Source organism: Homo sapiens, chromosome 21 (genome assembly GCF_000001405.40).
Source record: "Homo sapiens chromosome 21, GRCh38.p14 Primary Assembly".
Classification (NCBI taxonomy): domain Eukaryota; kingdom Metazoa; phylum Chordata; class Mammalia; order Primates; family Hominidae; genus Homo; species Homo sapiens.
The window spans coordinates 10792250-10807953 of NC_000021.9; the positions used below are offsets into that span (position 1 = coordinate 10792250).

Below are 15704 nucleotides of genomic sequence, written 5' to 3' on the forward strand. Positions count from 1 at the left end.
GGAAATATCTTCACATAAAAACTAGACAGAGGATTTCTGAGAAACTTCTTTGTGATATGTGGTTTCATCTCACAGAGTTGAACCATTCCTTTGATTGAGCAGTTTGGAAACAGTCTTTTTGTAGGATCTGCAAAGGGATATTTCTGTTCCCATTGATGCCTATGGTGAAAAAGGACATATCTTCACATAAAAACTAGACAGAAGCTTTCTGATAAACTTCTTAGTGATGTGTGCTTTCATGTCACAGATTTGAAACTTTCTTTTGATTGATCAGTTTGGAAACAGTCTTTTTGTAGAATCTGCAAATGGATATTTGGAGTGCTTTGAGGCTTATGGTGAAAAAGGAAATACCTTCACATGAAATATAAACAGAAGCTTTCTGAGAAACTTCTTTTTGATGCATGCATACATCTCACAGAGTTGAACGTTTCTTTTCATTGAGCAGTTTGGAAACAATCTTTTTGTACAATCTGGAATGGGATATTTCTGAGAAGTTGGAGGCCTATATCAAAAAAGAAATATCTTCACATAAAAACTAGACAAAAGTATTCTGAGAAACTTCTTTGAGAGGTATCCTTTCATCTCAGAGAGGTGAACTTTACTTTTGATGGAGCAGTTTGGAGACAGTCTTTTTGTAGTATCTGCAGAGGGATATCTGAGAGCAGTTTAAGGCCTATGGTGAAAAAGGAAATATCTTCACATAAAAACTAGGCAGAAGCATTCTGAGAAACTTCTTTGTGATGTATGCATTCAACTCAAAGAGGTGAAACTTTCTTTGGATTGAGCAGTTTGGAAATAGTCCTTTTGCAGTATCTGTAAAGGGATATTTCTCAGCCCATTGAGGCCTATGGTGAAATAGGAAATAACTTCTCATAAAAACCAGACAGAACGTTTCTGAGAAACTTCTTTGAGATATGTGCTTTCATCTCACAGAGTTGAACCTTTATTTTGGTTCAGAAGTTTGGAAACAGTCTTTGTGTAGAATCTGCAAAGGGCTATTTTTGAGCACCTTCTGGACTATGGTGAAACATAAAATATCTTCACATAAAAACTAGACAGGAGCTTTCTGAGAAACTTCTTTATGATGTGTTCTTTCATCTCACAGAGTTGTAAATTTCCTTTGATTGAGCAGTTTGGAAACACTCTTTATGGGGAATCTGCAAGTGGATATTTGGAGTGCTTTGTGGCCTATAGTGGAAAATGAAATATCTTCACATAAAAACTAGATAGAATCATTCTGAGAAACTTCTTTGTGATGTGCACATTCATCACAAAGAGTTGAACATTTCTTTCGATTCAGCAGTTTGGAAACAGTCCTTATGTAGAATCTGTGAAGGGATATTTCTCAGACCATTGATGCCTATGGATGAAATAGGAAATATTCTCACAAAAAAACTAGACAGAAAATTTCTGAGAAACTTCTTTATGATATGTGGTTTCATCTCACAGAGTTGAACCGTTCTTTTGGTTGAGCAGTTTGGAAACACATTTTTTGTAGAATCTGCAAGTGGATATTTGGAGCACATCGAGGCCTATGGTGGAAAATGGAATATTTTCACATAAAATTTAAACAGAATCATTCTGAGAAACTTCTTTGTGATGTGTGCATTCAACCCACAGAGTTCAACCTTTCTTTTGATTCAACAGTTTTGAAACACTCTTTTTGTAAAATCTGCCAGTGGATTTTTGGAACGCTTTGAGGCCTACAGTGGAAAAGGAAATATCTTCACATAAATAGTACACAGAAGCATTCTGAGAAACTTCTTTGTGATGTGTGCATTTAACTCAAAGAGTGCAATCCTTCTTTTGATTGAGCAGTTTTGAAAGACTCCTTTTGTAGAATCTGTAAGTGGATATTTGGAGCGCTATGTGGCCTTAAGTGGAAAAGGCAATATCTTCACATAAAAACTAGTCAACAGCATTCTGAGAAACTTCTTTGTCATGTGTGCATTCATCTCACAGAGTTGAAGCTTTCTTTTGATTGAGCAGTTTTGAAGCACTCTTTTTGTAGAATCTCCAATTGGATACTTGGAGCGTTTTGAGGCCTATTGTAGAAAAGTAAATATCTTCACGTGAAAACTACACAGAAGCATTCTGAGAAATTGGTTTGTGATGTGTGCATTCAACACACAGAGTTGAACCTTTCTTTTGATTGAGCAGTTTTGAAACACACTTTTTTTAGGATCTGCAAGTGGATATTTGGAGTGCTTTGTGGCCTACTGCGGAAAAGGATATATCTTCACATAAAAACTACGGAGAAGCATTCTGAGAAACTTCTTTGTGATGTGTGCATTCATCTCGCAGAGTTCAACCTTTCTTTTGATTGAGCAGTTTTGAACCACTCTTTTTGTAGAGTGTGCAAGTGGATATTTGGAGCACTTTGAGGCTTATGGTAGGAAAGGAAATATCTTCACATAAAAACTACAGAGAAGCATTCTGACAAAGTTCTTTGTGTTGTGTGTGTTCAACTCACAGATTTGAGTCTTTCTTTTGATTGAGCAGTTTTGAATCACTCTTTTTTTAGAATCTGCAAGTGGATATTTCGAGTGTTTTGCAGCCTCTGTTGGAAAAGGAAATATCTTCACATAAAATCTAGACAGAAGCATTCTGAGAAATTTCTTCATGATGTGTGCATTCATCTCACAGAGTTGAACCTTTCTTTTGATTGAGCAGTTTTGAAACACTCTTTTTGTAGAGTCTCCAAGTGGATATGTGGAGCACTTTGAAGCCATGATAGAAAAGGAAATATCTTCACATAAGAACTAGACAGAATCATTCTAAGATACTTCTTTGTGATGTGTACATTCAACTCACAGAGTTGAACATTTCTTTTGATTGAGCAGTTTTGAAGCACTCTTTTCGTAGAATCAGCAGTTGGATATTTAGAGCGCTTTGAGGCCTATGGTGGAAAAGGAAATATCTTCACATAAAAACTAGACAGAAGCATTCTGAGAAACTTTTCTGTGATGTGTGCATTCAACTCACCGAGTTGAACATGTCTTTTATTGAGCAGTTTGGATACATTCTTTTCGTACCATCTTCAAATTTGTATTTGGACAGCTTTGAGGCCTATAGTGGAAAAGGAAATATCTGCACATAAAAACTAGACAGAAGCATTCAGAGAAACTTCTTTGTGATGTGTGCATTCATCTCACAGAGTTGAACCATTCTTTTCATTGAGCAGTTTTGAGACACTCTTTTTGTAGAATCTGCAAGTGGATATTTGGATCTCTTTGAGACATACAGTGCAAAAGAATATATCTTCCCTTAAAAACTAGCCAGAAGCATTCTGAGAAAGTACTTTGTGATGTGTGTATTCTACTCACAGAGTTCAAACTTTATTCTGATTGGGCAGTTTTGAAACACACTTTTTGTAGAATCTGCAATTGGATATTTGGATCGCTTTGCGGCCTCTTGTGGAAAAGGAAATATCTTCACATGAAAACTACAGGGAATCATTTTGAGAAACTTCTTTGTGATGTGTGCTTTCAGCTCTCAGAGTTGAAACTTTCTTTTGATTGAGCAGTTTTGAAACACTCTTTTTGTAGAATCTGCAAGTGGATATTTAGAGTGCTTTGATGCCTATGGTGGAAAAGGAAATATCTGCAATGAAAACTAGACAGAAGCATTCTGAGAAACTTCTTTGTGTTGTGTGTATTCATCTCAGAGAGATGAACTTACTTTTTGTTGAGCAGTTTGGAAACACTCTTTTTGTAGAGTCTGCCATTGGATATTTGGAGCGCGGTGAATCCTATGGTGGAAAAGGACATATCTTCACATAAGAACTATAAAGCAGGTTTTCTAAAAACAACCTTGTGATGTGTGCATTCATCTCACAGAGGTAAGTGTTTCTTTTCTCCTATCAGTCTGGAAACTGTGTTCTTGTACAATCTCAAAGGGGGTATTTTTGAGCACTTTGAGGCCTATTGTGACAAAGGAAATATCTTCACATTCAAAGTATGCAGAAAGTTTCCAAGATACTTTTTTGTGATATGTGCATTCATCTCACAGATTTGAATGTCTCTTTTAATTTAGCCCTTTGGAAACAGTCTTTTTGAAGAATCTGCAAACGGATATTTGTGAGCACTTTGAGGCCTATGCAGGAAAAGAAGTATCTTCACAGAAAACTATAAAGAAGGTTTCTGAGAAACTGTTTTTTGATGTCTGCATTCATCTCACAGAGGTAAACAATTATTTTCTTTGATCAGTTGGGAAACTCTGTTCTTGTAGGATCTGCTAAGGGACATTTTTGAGTGCCTAGAGCCCTATTGTGAAAAAGATATTGTCTTCACATGAAAACTAGACAGAAGCCTAGTGAGAAACTTCTTGGTGATATGTGCATTCATCTCACAGAAATGAAACTTTCTTTTGATTAAGCAGTTTAGAAACGTCTTTTTGTAGAATCTGTAAAGGGATATTTCTCATCACTTTGAGGCCTATGGTGAAAGAGAAATTATCTTCACAAAAAAACTAGACTAAAGATTTCTGAGAAACTGCTTTGTGATGTATGCATTCATCTCACAGAGTTCAACAATTCTTTTGATGGAGCAGTTGGGAAACCACGTTTTTATAGAATCTGCAAAGGGATATTTGTGAGCACTTTGAGTTCTATGGTTAAAAGGAAATATCTTCACATAAAAACTATAAAGAAGGTTTGTGAGAAACTTCTTTATGATGTGTGCATTCATCTCACAGAGTTGAACCATTCCTTTGACTCAGCGGTTTGGAAACAGTCTTTTTTTAGGATCTGCAAAGGGATATTTTTGAGCACTTTGAGGCCCATGGTGAAAAAGGAAACACTTTCACATAAAAACAAGATAGATGCTTTCTGAGAATCATCTTTTTGATGTTTGCATTTATCCCACAGAGGTGAACCTTTCTTTTGATGAGCATTTTGGAAGCAGTATTTGGTAGAATTTCCAAAGGGTTATTAGTTAGTGTTTTGTGTCCTATGTTGGAAAAGGAATTATTTTTAAATAAAAACTAGACAGAATATTTCTGAGAAACTGCCTTGTGATGTTTGCTTTCATCTCACAGAAGTAACCATTTCTTTTCAATGAACAGATTGGAAATTCTGTTCTTGTAAAATCTGCAAAGGGATATTTGTCAGCACTTTGAGGCCTATGGTGAAAAAGGAATTATCTTCACATAAAAACTAGACGGAAGCTTTCTGTGAAACATCTTGGAGATGCGAGAATTCATCTCACAGAGTTGAAACATTCTTTTGATTGGGCAGTTTGTAAACAGTATTTTGGTAGAATCTGCAAATGGATATTTGTGATGCTTTGAAGCCTATGGTGAAAACGAAATATTTTCACATGAAAACTAGAGAGAAGCTTTCTGAGAAACCTCCTTGTGATGTGTGCATTCGTCTCACAGATTTGAAACTTTCTTTGGATTGAGCAATTTGGAAACAGTATTTTTGTAGAATCTGTAAAGGCATATTTTTGAGTGGTATGAGGCCTATGATGAAATAGGAAATATCTTCACATAAAAACTAGACAGAAACTTTCTGAGAAACTTCTTTGTGATGTGTGCATTCATCTCGTAGAGTTCAACCATTCTTTTGATGGAACAGTTTGGAAACACTCTTTTTGTAGAATCTGCAAAGGGATATTTATGAGTGCTTTGAGGCCTATGGTTAAAAAGGAAATGTATTCACATAAAAAGTATAAACAAGGTTTCTCAGAAACAGCTTTATGATTTATGCATTCATCTCACAGAAGTAAACGTTTCTTTTCTCTGATCTGTCTGGAAACTGTTCTTGTAGATTCTGCAAAGGGATAATTGTGAGTGCTTTGAGGCCTATGGTGAAAAAGGAAATATCTTCACATAAAAATTAGAGAGAGGCTTTCTGAGAAACCTCTTTGTGATGTGGGCATTCATCTCACAAAGTTGAAACTTACTTTTGATTGAGCAGTATGGAAACCGTCTGTTTGTGGAATCTGCAAAGGGATATTTATGAGAGCTTTGAGGCCAATGGTGAAAAAGGAAATATATTCATATAAAAGGTATAAAGAAGGTTTCTTAGAAACAGCTTTGTGGTGTGTGCATTGATCTCAGAGAGGTAAACGTTTATTTTCTGTGATCAGTCAGGAAACTGTTCTTGTAGAATCTGCAAAGGGATATTTGTGAGTGCTTTGAGGCCTATGGTGAAAAAGGAAATATCTTCACATAAAAACTAGACAGAAGCTTTCTTAGTGGCTTCTTTGTGATGTGTGCAATCATCTCACAGAGTTGAACCATTCTTTTGATTGAGCAGTCTGGAAACAGTGTTTTTATAGAATCTGCAAGGGATACTTGTCACGACTTGTAGTGCTATGGTGAAAAAGGAAATATCTTCACATAAAAAATGGACAGAAGATTTCTGAGAAACCTCTTTGAGATGTGTGCATCCATCTCACAAAGTTCAACCATTTATTTGATTGAGCAGTTGCGAAGCAGTCTTTTTGCAGAATCTACAAAGGGATATTCCTGAGCACTTTGAAGCCTGTGGTGGAAAAGGAAATATCTTCACGTAAAAACTAAAAAGAAGTTTCTGAGAAACTTCTCTGTGATGTACACATTCATCTCACAGAGTTGAACTATTCTTTTGATTAAGCACTTTGGAAACAATCTTTTTGTAGAATCTGCAAAGGGATATTTTTGAGCACTTTGAGTCCTAGGGAGAAAAAAGAATTATCATCACATAAAAAGTATAAAGAAGGTTTCTGAGAAACAGTTTTGTGATGTGTGCATTCACCACACAGAGAAAAACGTTTGTTTTGTTTGATCAGTCTGGAAATTCTGTTCTTGTAGAATCTGCTAAGGGATAATTGTGAGCAGATGGAGGCCTATGGTGAAAAAGGAAATGTCTTCATATAAAAATTAGACAGAAGCTTCCTGCAAAACTTCTTAGTGATTTGTGGATTCATCTCAGAGTTGAAACTTTCTATTCATTGAGCCGTTTGGAAACAGTCTTTTTGTAGACTCTGCAAATGGATATTTGGAGCACTTTGAGGCCTATGGTGAAAAATGAAATACATTCACATAAAAATCAGACTGAAAGTTTGTGAGAAACTTCTTTGAGATGTGTGCATTCATCTCACAAAGTTCAATAATTCTTTTTATTGAGCGATTTGGAACAATCTTTTTGTAGAATCTGCAAAGAGATATTTGTGAGGGCTTTGAGGCCTATGGTGAAAAAGGAAATATCTTCACAGAAAAACTATAAAGAAGGTTTCTGAGAAACTTCTTTGTGATGTGTGCAGTCATCTCACACAGTTCAACTTTTCTTTTGATTGAGCAGTTTGGAAACAGTCTTTTTAAATATTCTTCAAGTGGATACTTCTGAGCACCTTGAGGCTCATGGGGAAAAAGGAAACATTCACATAAAAAATTAATAGAAGATTTCTGAGAAACCACTTTTTGACATGTGCATTCATCTCACAGAGTTGAACCTTTCTTTTGATGAGCAGTGTGGAAACAATCTTTTTGTAGAATCTGCAAAGGGACAATTTTGAGTGCTTTACATCCTGTGGTGGAAAAGGAGATACCTTCACATAAAAACTAGACAGAATGTTTCTCAGAAACTGCTTTGTGATATGTACATTCATCTCCCAGATGTGTCTGTTTCTTTTCATTGAGAAGATTGGAAACTCTTTTCTTGTAAGATCTGCAAAGGGATATTTGTGAGCCCTTTGAGGTGTATGGTGAAAAAGGAAATATCTTCACATAAAAACTACACAGAAGCTTTCTGAGAAACATCCTCGTGATGTGAGCATTCACCTCACAGAGTTGAAACATTCTTTTGATTGAGCCATGTGTAAAGAGTCTTTTTGTAGAATCTGCAAAGGGATATTTGTGAATGCTTTGAGGCCTATGGTGAAAAAGGAAATATCTTCACATAAAAACTAGAGAGAAGCTTTCTGAGAAACCTCTTTGTGGTGTGCATACATCTCACAGAGTTGAACCTTTCTTTTGATTGAGCAATTTGGAAGAAGTATTTTTGTAGAATCTGTAAAGAGATATTTGTGAGCACTTTGAGACCTACGGTGAAAAACTGGACAGAAGCATTATGAGAAACTACTTCGTGATGTGTGCATTCATCACACAGAGTTGAACCTTTGTTTTGATTGAGCCGTTTGGAAACAGTCTTTTTGTAGACTCTGCAAACGGATATTTGGAGCACTTTGAGGCCTATCGTGAAAAAGGAAATATATTCACATAAAAACTAGACTGAAGGATTCTGAGAAACTTCTTTGAGCTGTGTGCATTCATCTGACAGTGTTCAATAATTCTTTTTATTGAGCAGCTTGGAAACAGTCTTTTTGTAGAATCTGCAAAGGGATATTTGTGATGTCTTTGAGGTCTATGTTGAAAAAGGAAATATCTTCAGGGAAAAACCATAAAGAAAGTTTCTGAGAAACTTCTTTGGATGTGTGCATTCATCACACAGAGGTGAAATATTCTTTGGATTGAGCAGTTTGCAAACAGTCTTTTTGTAGAATCTGCAGAGGGATATTTGTAGAGCTTTGAGGCTTATGATGAATAAGGAAATATATTCACATAAAAACTAGACAAAAGTTTTCTGAGAAACTTTTTGTGATGTGTGCATTTATCTCATAGAGTTTAACATTTTTTTTTTTGATAGAGCAGTATGGAAACAGTCTTTTTGTAGAATCTGCAAAGGGATATTTAGGAGCAAGTTGAGGCCTATGGTGGAAAAGGAAATATCTTCACATAAAAGCTAGAAAGAAGCATTCTGAGAAGCTGCTTTAAGATATGTGTACTCATCTCACAGATGTAAACATTTCTTTTCATTGAGCAGTTTGTAAACTCTGTTATTCTAGAGTCTGCAAAGGGATATTTTTGAGTGCTTTGAGACCCATGTTGAAAAAGGAAGTATCTTCATATAAAAACTAGTGAGAAGCTTACTGAGAAACTACTTTCTGATGAGTGCATTCATCTAACAGAGTTGAAACTTTCTTTTGATTGAGCAGTTTGGAAACAGTCTTTTTGTAGACTCTGCAAAGGTATATTTGGGAGTGCATTGAGGCCTATGTTCAAAAAGGAAATATCTTCAAATAAAACTGAGAAGGAAGTTTTCTGAGAAACTTCTTTGTGATGTACACATTCGTCTCACAGGGTTGAATCATTCTGTTTATTGAGCAGTTTGGAAACAATCTTTTTGTAGAATCTGCAAAGGGATATCTGTGAGTGCATTGAGGCATATGGTGAAAAAGGAAATATCTTCATATTAAAAGTAGAAAGAAGTTTTCTGAGTAACTCATTTGTGACATGTGCATTTATCACACAGAAGTAAAAATTTCTTCCCATTAAGCAGTTAGTTTTTATGTGAAGATATTTCCGTTTTCACCATAGACCTCAAACTGTCTACATATATCCCTTTGCAAATTCTACAAAAAGACTGTTACAAAACTGCTCAATCAAAGAAAGCTTCCACTCTGTGAGATGAATGCACACATCACAGAGAAGTTTCTCAGAAAGTTTCTGTCTACTTTTTATTTGTTGATACTCCCTTTTTCACCATAGACCTCAAACCACTCATAAATAACCCTTTTCAGATTCTACAAAAAGACTGTTTCCAAACTACTCAATCAAAAGAAAGCTTCAATTCTGTGAGGTGAATGCACACATCACAAAGAAGTTTCTCAGAATGCTTCTGTCTAGTTTTTATCTGAAGACATTTCCTTTTTCACCATAGGCCAAAAAGGGATCCCAAATATCCCTTTGTACATTCTACAAAGGACTGTTTCCAAACTGCTCAATCCAAAGACAGGTTCAACTTTTGCGATGAATGCACACATCACAAAGAAGTTTCTCAGAAAGCTTCTGTCTAGTTTTTGTGTGAAGATATTACTTTTTTCACCATAGGCTTCAAAGGGCTCACATATATCGCAAAGCAGATTCTACAAAAAGACTCTATCCAAACTGGTCAAGGAAAAGAATACTTCAAATCTGTGAGATGAATGTGCACATCTCAAAGAATTTTCTCAGAAATCTTCTGTCTAGTTTTTATGTGTAGATATTTCCTTTTTCACCATAGACCTGAAACCGCCTATATATAACCCTTTGCAGATTCTACAAAAAGACTGTTTCCAAACGGCTCAATCAAAGAAAGCTTCTACTCTGTGAGATGAATGCACATATCAGAGAGAAGTTTCTCAGAAAGTTTCTGTCTAGTTTTTATTTGTCGATATTCCCTTTTTCACCATAGGCCTCAAACAGCTCATAAATAACCCTTTGCAGATTCTACAATAGGACTGTTTCCAAACTGCTCACTCAAATGAAAGTTCAGCTGTGTGAGATGAATGCACACATCAAAAAGAAGTTTCTCAGAATGTTTCTGTCTAGTTTTTATGTGAAGACACTTTTTTTCACCATAAGCCTGAAAGTGTTCCCAAATTTTCCTTTGCAGATTCTATGAAAAGACTGTTTCCAAACTGCTCAATCAAAAGAAAGGTTCAATTCTGTGTGATGAATGCACACATCACTACGAAGTTTCTCAGAAGGATTCTGTCTAGATTTTATTTGTGGATATTTCCTTTTTCACAATAGGCCTCAGAAAGCTCACAAATATCGCTTTGCTTATTCTACAAAAAGACTGTTTCCTATCTGCTCAATGAAAGAAAATTAAACTCTGTGAGATGAATGCATGCATCGCAAAGTGGTTTCTCAGAATGCTTCTGTCTAGTTTTTATATGAAGATATTTCCTTTTTCATCACATGCCTCAAACCACTCAAAAACATCCATTTACAGATTCTCCAAAAAGACTGTTTCCAAACTGCTCAATCAAAAGAAAGATTCAAGTCTTTGAGATGCATACACCCATCACAAAGAAGTTTCCCAGAAAACATGAGTCTAGTGTTTATATGAAGATATTTCCTTTTGCACCATAAGCATCAAAGCATTCACCAATATCACTTTGCAGGTTCTACAAAAAGACTGTTTCCAAACTGGTGAATTGAAAGAAATTCAACCCTGTGAGATGAATGCACACATCACAAAGAAGTTCTTCAGAAAGCTGCTGTCTACATTTTATTTTTCGATATTTCCTTTTTCACCATTGGATTCAAACCACTGAAACATATCACTTTGCAGATTCTACAAAAAGACTGTTTCCAAACTGCCCAATCAAAAGAAAGGTTCAACTCTGTGAGATGAATGCACACATCACAAAGAAGTTTCTCAGATAGCTCTTATTATTTTGAGATATGTCCCATCAATACCTAATTTATTGAGAGTTTTTAGCATGAAGGGTTGTGGAATTTTGTAAAGGCCTTTTCTGCATCTATTGAGATAATCATGTGGTTTTTGTCTTTGGTTCTGTTTATATGCTGGATTACATTTATTGATTTGCATATATTGAACCAGGCTTGCATCCCAGAGATGAAGCCCACTTGTTCATCGTGGATAAGCTTTTGGATGTGCTGCTGGATTCGGTTTGCCAGTATTTTATTGAGGATTTTTGCATCGATGTTCATCAAGGATATTGGTCTAAAATTCTCTTTTTTGGTTGTGTCTCTGCCAGGCTTTGGTATCAGGATGATCCTGGCTTCATAAAATGAGTTAGGGAGGATTCCCTCTTTTTCTATTGATTGGAATAGTTTCAGAAGGAATGGTACCAGTTCCTCCTTGTACCTCTGGTAGAATTCGGCTGTGAATCCATCTGATCCTGGACTCTTTTTGGTTGGTAAGCTATTGATTATTACCACAATTTCAGATCCTGTTATTGGTCTATTCAGAGATTCAAATTTTTCCTGGGTTAGTCTTGAGAGGGTGTATATGTCGAAGAATTTATCCATTTCTTCTAGATTTTCTAGTTTATTTGCATAGAGGTGTTTGTAGTATTCTCTGATGGTAGTTTGTATTTCTGTGGGATCAGTGGTGATATCCCCTTTATCATTTTTTATTGCATTTATTTGATTCTTCTCTTTTTTCTTCTTTATTAATCTTGCTAGCGGTCTATCAATTTTGTTGATCCTTTCAAAAAACCAGCTCCTGGATTCATTAATTTTTTGAAGGGTTTTTTTTTGTCTCTATTTCTTTCAGTTCTGCTCTGATTTTAGTTATTTCTTGCCTTCTGCTAGCTTTTGAATGTGTTTGCTCTTGCTTTTCTAGTTCTTTTAATTGTGATGTTAGGGTGTCAATTTTGGATCTTTCCTGCTTTCTCTTGTGGGCATTTAGTGCTATAAATTTCCCTCTAAACACTGCTTTGAATGTGTCCCAGAGATTCTGGTATGTTGTGTCTTTGTTCTTGTTGGTTTCATGCTGCTATAAAGACACATGCACGTGTATGTTTATTGTGGCACTATTCACAATAGCAAAGACTTGGAACCAACCCAAATGTCCAACAATGATAGACTGGATTAAGAAAATGTGGCACATATACACTATGGAATACTATGGAGCCATAAAAAGTGATGAGTTCATGTCCTTTGTAGGGACATGGATGAAATAGGAAATCATCATTCTAAGTAAACTATCACAAGGACAAAAAACCAAACACTCACATGTTCTCACTCATAGGTGAGATTTGAACAATGAGAACACATGGACACAGCAAGGGTCACATCACACTCTGGGGACTGTTGTGGGGTGTGGGGAGGGGGGAGGGATAGCATTAGGAGATATACCTAATGCTAAATGATGAGTTAATGGGTGCAGGACACCAGTGTGGCACATGTATACATATGTAACTAACCTGCACATTGTGCACATGTACCCTAAAACTTAAAGTATAATAACAATAAAATAAAATAAAAAGAAAGTGCACATCACAAAGAAGTTTCTCAGAAAGTTTCTTTCTAGTTTTTATATGAAGATATTTCCTTTTTCACCATAGTCCACAAAGTGCACCAAATATCTTTTGCAGATTGTGCAAAAAGAGGTTTTCCAAACTGCTCAATCAAAAGAAAGGTTCAACTCTGTGAGATGAAATCACAAATCACAAAGAAGTTACTCAGAATGCTTCTGTCTAGTTTTTAAGTGAAGGTATTTCCTGTTACACCATGGGCCTCAAGGGGCTCACAAATATCCTTTTGCAGATTCTACAAAAAGACTGTTACAGAACTGCTCAATGAAAAGTAAGTTTCAACTCTGTGAGATGAATTCACACCTAAAAAAGAAGTTTCTCAGAATGCTTCTGTCTAGTTTTATGTGAAGATATTTCTTTGTCACCATAGGCCTCAAACCACTCAGAAATATCCCTATGCAGCTGTTACAAAAAGACTGCTTCTAAACTGCTCAATGAAAAGAAAGATTCTACTTTGTGAGATGAAAACACACATCACAAAGAATTTTCTCAGAAAGTTTTTTTCTAGCTTATATGTGAAGATATTTCCTCTTTCAGCATAGGCCTCAATGGGCTCAAAAATATCTCTTTTCAGATACTACAAAAGGCCTCTTTCCAAACTGCTCAATCAGAAGAAAGTTTCAACTCTGTGAGATGAAAGCACACATCACAAAGAAGTTTCTCAGAATATTTTTCTAGTTTTTATGTGAAGATATTTCCTATTTCACCATAAGCCATAAAGGTCTTCCAAATATCCCTTTGCAGACTCTACAAAAAGCCTGTTTCCAAACAACTCAATCAAAACAAAGTTTCAAATCTGTGAGATGAATGGACATATCACAAAGAAGTTTCTCAGAAGGCTTCTGCCTAGTTTTTATGTGAAGATATGACTTTTTCACCAGAGGCCTCAAAGAGCTAAGAAATATCCCTTTGCAGATTGTACAAAAAGACTGTTTCCAAATTTCTCAATGAAAAGACAGGTTCAACTCTGTGAGATGAATGCGCATATCATAAAGAAGTTTCTCAGAATGCCTCTGTCTAGTTTTTATGTGAAGTTATTTCCTTTTTCACCATAGGCCTTAAATGGCTCCCAAATATCCCTCTGCAGATACTACAAAAAGACTACTTGAAAACTGTTCAATCAAAGGAATGCTTCATCTCTGTGAAATGAATGCACCCATCCAAAGAAGTTTTTCAGAATGCTTCTGTCTAGTTTTTATGTGAAGATATTTCCTTTTTCACCACAGGCCTCAAAGTGCTCCAAATATCCATTTGCAGATTCTACAAAAAGACTGTTTCCAAACAGCTACATGAAAAGAAAGGTTCAATTCTGTCAGATAAATGCACACATGAAAAAGAAGTTTCTCAGAATGCTTCTGTCTGGTTTTTATCTGACATAATTATTTTTCACCATAGGCCTCAAACCGTTCAAAAACATCCCTTTGCATATTGTACAAAAAGACTGTTTCTAAACTGTCAAATGCAAAGAAAGGTTCAACTCTGTGAGATGAAACCACACATCACAAAGAAGTTCCTCATAATGCTTCTGTCTGGTTTTTATGTGAAGATATTTCATATTTCACCATAGGCCTCAAAGAGCTCACAAATATCCCTTTGCAGACTCTACAAAAAGACTGTTTTCGAACTGCTCCATGCAAAGAAAGGTTCAACTCTGTGAGACGAATGCACACATAAAAAAGAAGTTACTCAGAATGCTTCTGTCTAGTTTTTTTGTGAAGATATTTCTTTTTCACCATAGACATCAAACCATTCAGAAATATCCCTTTGTACATTGTACAAAAAGACTGTTTCCAAACTGTTCAATCAAAAGAAAGGCTCAAACCTGTGAGATGAAAGCACACATCACAAAGAAGTTTCTCAGAATGTTTCTGTCTAATTTTTATGGGAGGATATTTCTTTTTCACCATAGGAATCAAACCCCTCAGAAATATCCCTTTGCAGATTGTAGATAAAGAATTTTTCCTAACTGCTCAATCAAAAGAACAGTTCAAGTCTGTGAGATGAAAGCACACATCACAAAGAAGTTTCTCAGAAATCTTCTGTCTAGTTTTTATGTGAAGATATTTCCCTTCTAACGATAGGCCTCAAAGAAATCCAAATATCAATTTGCAGATTCTACAAAATAGTGTTTCCAAACTGCTCAATCAAAAGAAATTTTCAACTCTGTGAGATGAAAACACACATCACAAAGAAGTTCTTCAGAAAGTTTCTCACTAGATTTTATGTGAAGATATTTAGTTTTTCACCACAAGCCACAAAGTGCTCCAAATATCCATTTGCAGATACTTCAAAAAGAGTTTTTCCAAACTGCTCAATCAAAAGAAAATTTCAACTCTGTGAGATGAATGCAAACATCACAAAGAAGTTTCTCGGTATGCTTCTGTATAGTTTTTCTGTGAAGATATTTCCCATTTCACCATGGGCCTCAGTGGGCTCACATATATCCTTTTGCAAATTCTACAAAAGATTGTTTCCGAATTTCTCAATGAAAAGAAAGATTCATCTCTGGGAGATGAATGCACACATGAATAAGAAGTTTCTCAGAATGCTTCTGTCTAGTTTCTGTGTTAAGATATTTGTTTTTCACCATAGGCCTCAAACTGCTCAGAAATATTCCTTTGCAGATTGTACAAAAAGATTGTTTCCAAACTGCTCAATGAAAACAAAGGTTCAACACTGTGACATGAATACTCACATCACAGAGAAGTTTTTCAGAAAGCTTCTGTTTAGTTTTTAAGTGAAAATATTTCCTTTTTCACCATAGGCCTCAAAGCACTCCAAATATCCTTTTGCAAACTCTACAAAAAGAGAGTTTCCAACTGTTCAATTAAAAGAAAGATTCGAATCTGTGAAAAGAAAGTACACATCACGAAGAAGTTTCTCATA

The 15704-nt window shown here is 35.7% G+C and overlaps 8 annotated features.

Moving 5' to 3' along the window:
• Window positions 421-944: an enhancer, noted in NCBI's record as "OCT4-NANOG hESC enhancer chr21:10719264-10719787 (GRCh37/hg19 assembly coordinates)". NCBI's record gives its function as "activates a minimal SCP1, AML or CMV promoter by ChIP-STARR-seq in naive H9 embryonic stem cells {active_cell/tissue: H9 hESC(naive)}" and the evidence as "EXISTENCE:reporter gene assay evidence [ECO:0000049][PMID:30033119]".
• Window positions 945-1467: an enhancer, noted in NCBI's record as "OCT4-NANOG-H3K27ac hESC enhancer chr21:10718741-10719263 (GRCh37/hg19 assembly coordinates)". NCBI's record gives its function as "activates a minimal SCP1, AML or CMV promoter by ChIP-STARR-seq in naive H9 embryonic stem cells {active_cell/tissue: H9 hESC(naive)}" and the evidence as "EXISTENCE:reporter gene assay evidence [ECO:0000049][PMID:30033119]".
• Window positions 1992-2514: an enhancer, noted in NCBI's record as "OCT4-NANOG-H3K27ac hESC enhancer chr21:10717694-10718216 (GRCh37/hg19 assembly coordinates)". NCBI's record gives its function as "activates a minimal SCP1, AML or CMV promoter by ChIP-STARR-seq in naive H9 embryonic stem cells {active_cell/tissue: H9 hESC(naive)}" and the evidence as "EXISTENCE:reporter gene assay evidence [ECO:0000049][PMID:30033119]".
• Window positions 3039-3561: an enhancer, noted in NCBI's record as "OCT4-NANOG-H3K27ac hESC enhancer chr21:10716647-10717169 (GRCh37/hg19 assembly coordinates)". NCBI's record gives its function as "activates a minimal SCP1, AML or CMV promoter by ChIP-STARR-seq in primed H9 embryonic stem cells {active_cell/tissue: H9 hESC(primed)}" and the evidence as "EXISTENCE:reporter gene assay evidence [ECO:0000049][PMID:30033119]".
• Window positions 3562-4084: an enhancer, noted in NCBI's record as "OCT4-NANOG-H3K27ac hESC enhancer chr21:10716124-10716646 (GRCh37/hg19 assembly coordinates)". NCBI's record gives its function as "activates a minimal SCP1, AML or CMV promoter by ChIP-STARR-seq in primed H9 embryonic stem cells {active_cell/tissue: H9 hESC(primed)}" and the evidence as "EXISTENCE:reporter gene assay evidence [ECO:0000049][PMID:30033119]".
• Window positions 4085-4607: an enhancer, noted in NCBI's record as "OCT4-NANOG hESC enhancer chr21:10715601-10716123 (GRCh37/hg19 assembly coordinates)". NCBI's record gives its function as "activates a minimal SCP1, AML or CMV promoter by ChIP-STARR-seq in primed H9 embryonic stem cells {active_cell/tissue: H9 hESC(primed)}" and the evidence as "EXISTENCE:reporter gene assay evidence [ECO:0000049][PMID:30033119]".
• Window positions 4608-5131: an enhancer, noted in NCBI's record as "OCT4-NANOG hESC enhancer chr21:10715077-10715600 (GRCh37/hg19 assembly coordinates)". NCBI's record gives its function as "activates a minimal SCP1, AML or CMV promoter by ChIP-STARR-seq in primed H9 embryonic stem cells {active_cell/tissue: H9 hESC(primed)}" and the evidence as "EXISTENCE:reporter gene assay evidence [ECO:0000049][PMID:30033119]".
• Window positions 13576-14429: an enhancer, noted in NCBI's record as "OCT4-NANOG hESC enhancer chr21:10705779-10706632 (GRCh37/hg19 assembly coordinates)". NCBI's record gives its function as "activates a minimal SCP1, AML or CMV promoter by ChIP-STARR-seq in naive H9 embryonic stem cells {active_cell/tissue: H9 hESC(naive)}" and the evidence as "EXISTENCE:reporter gene assay evidence [ECO:0000049][PMID:30033119]".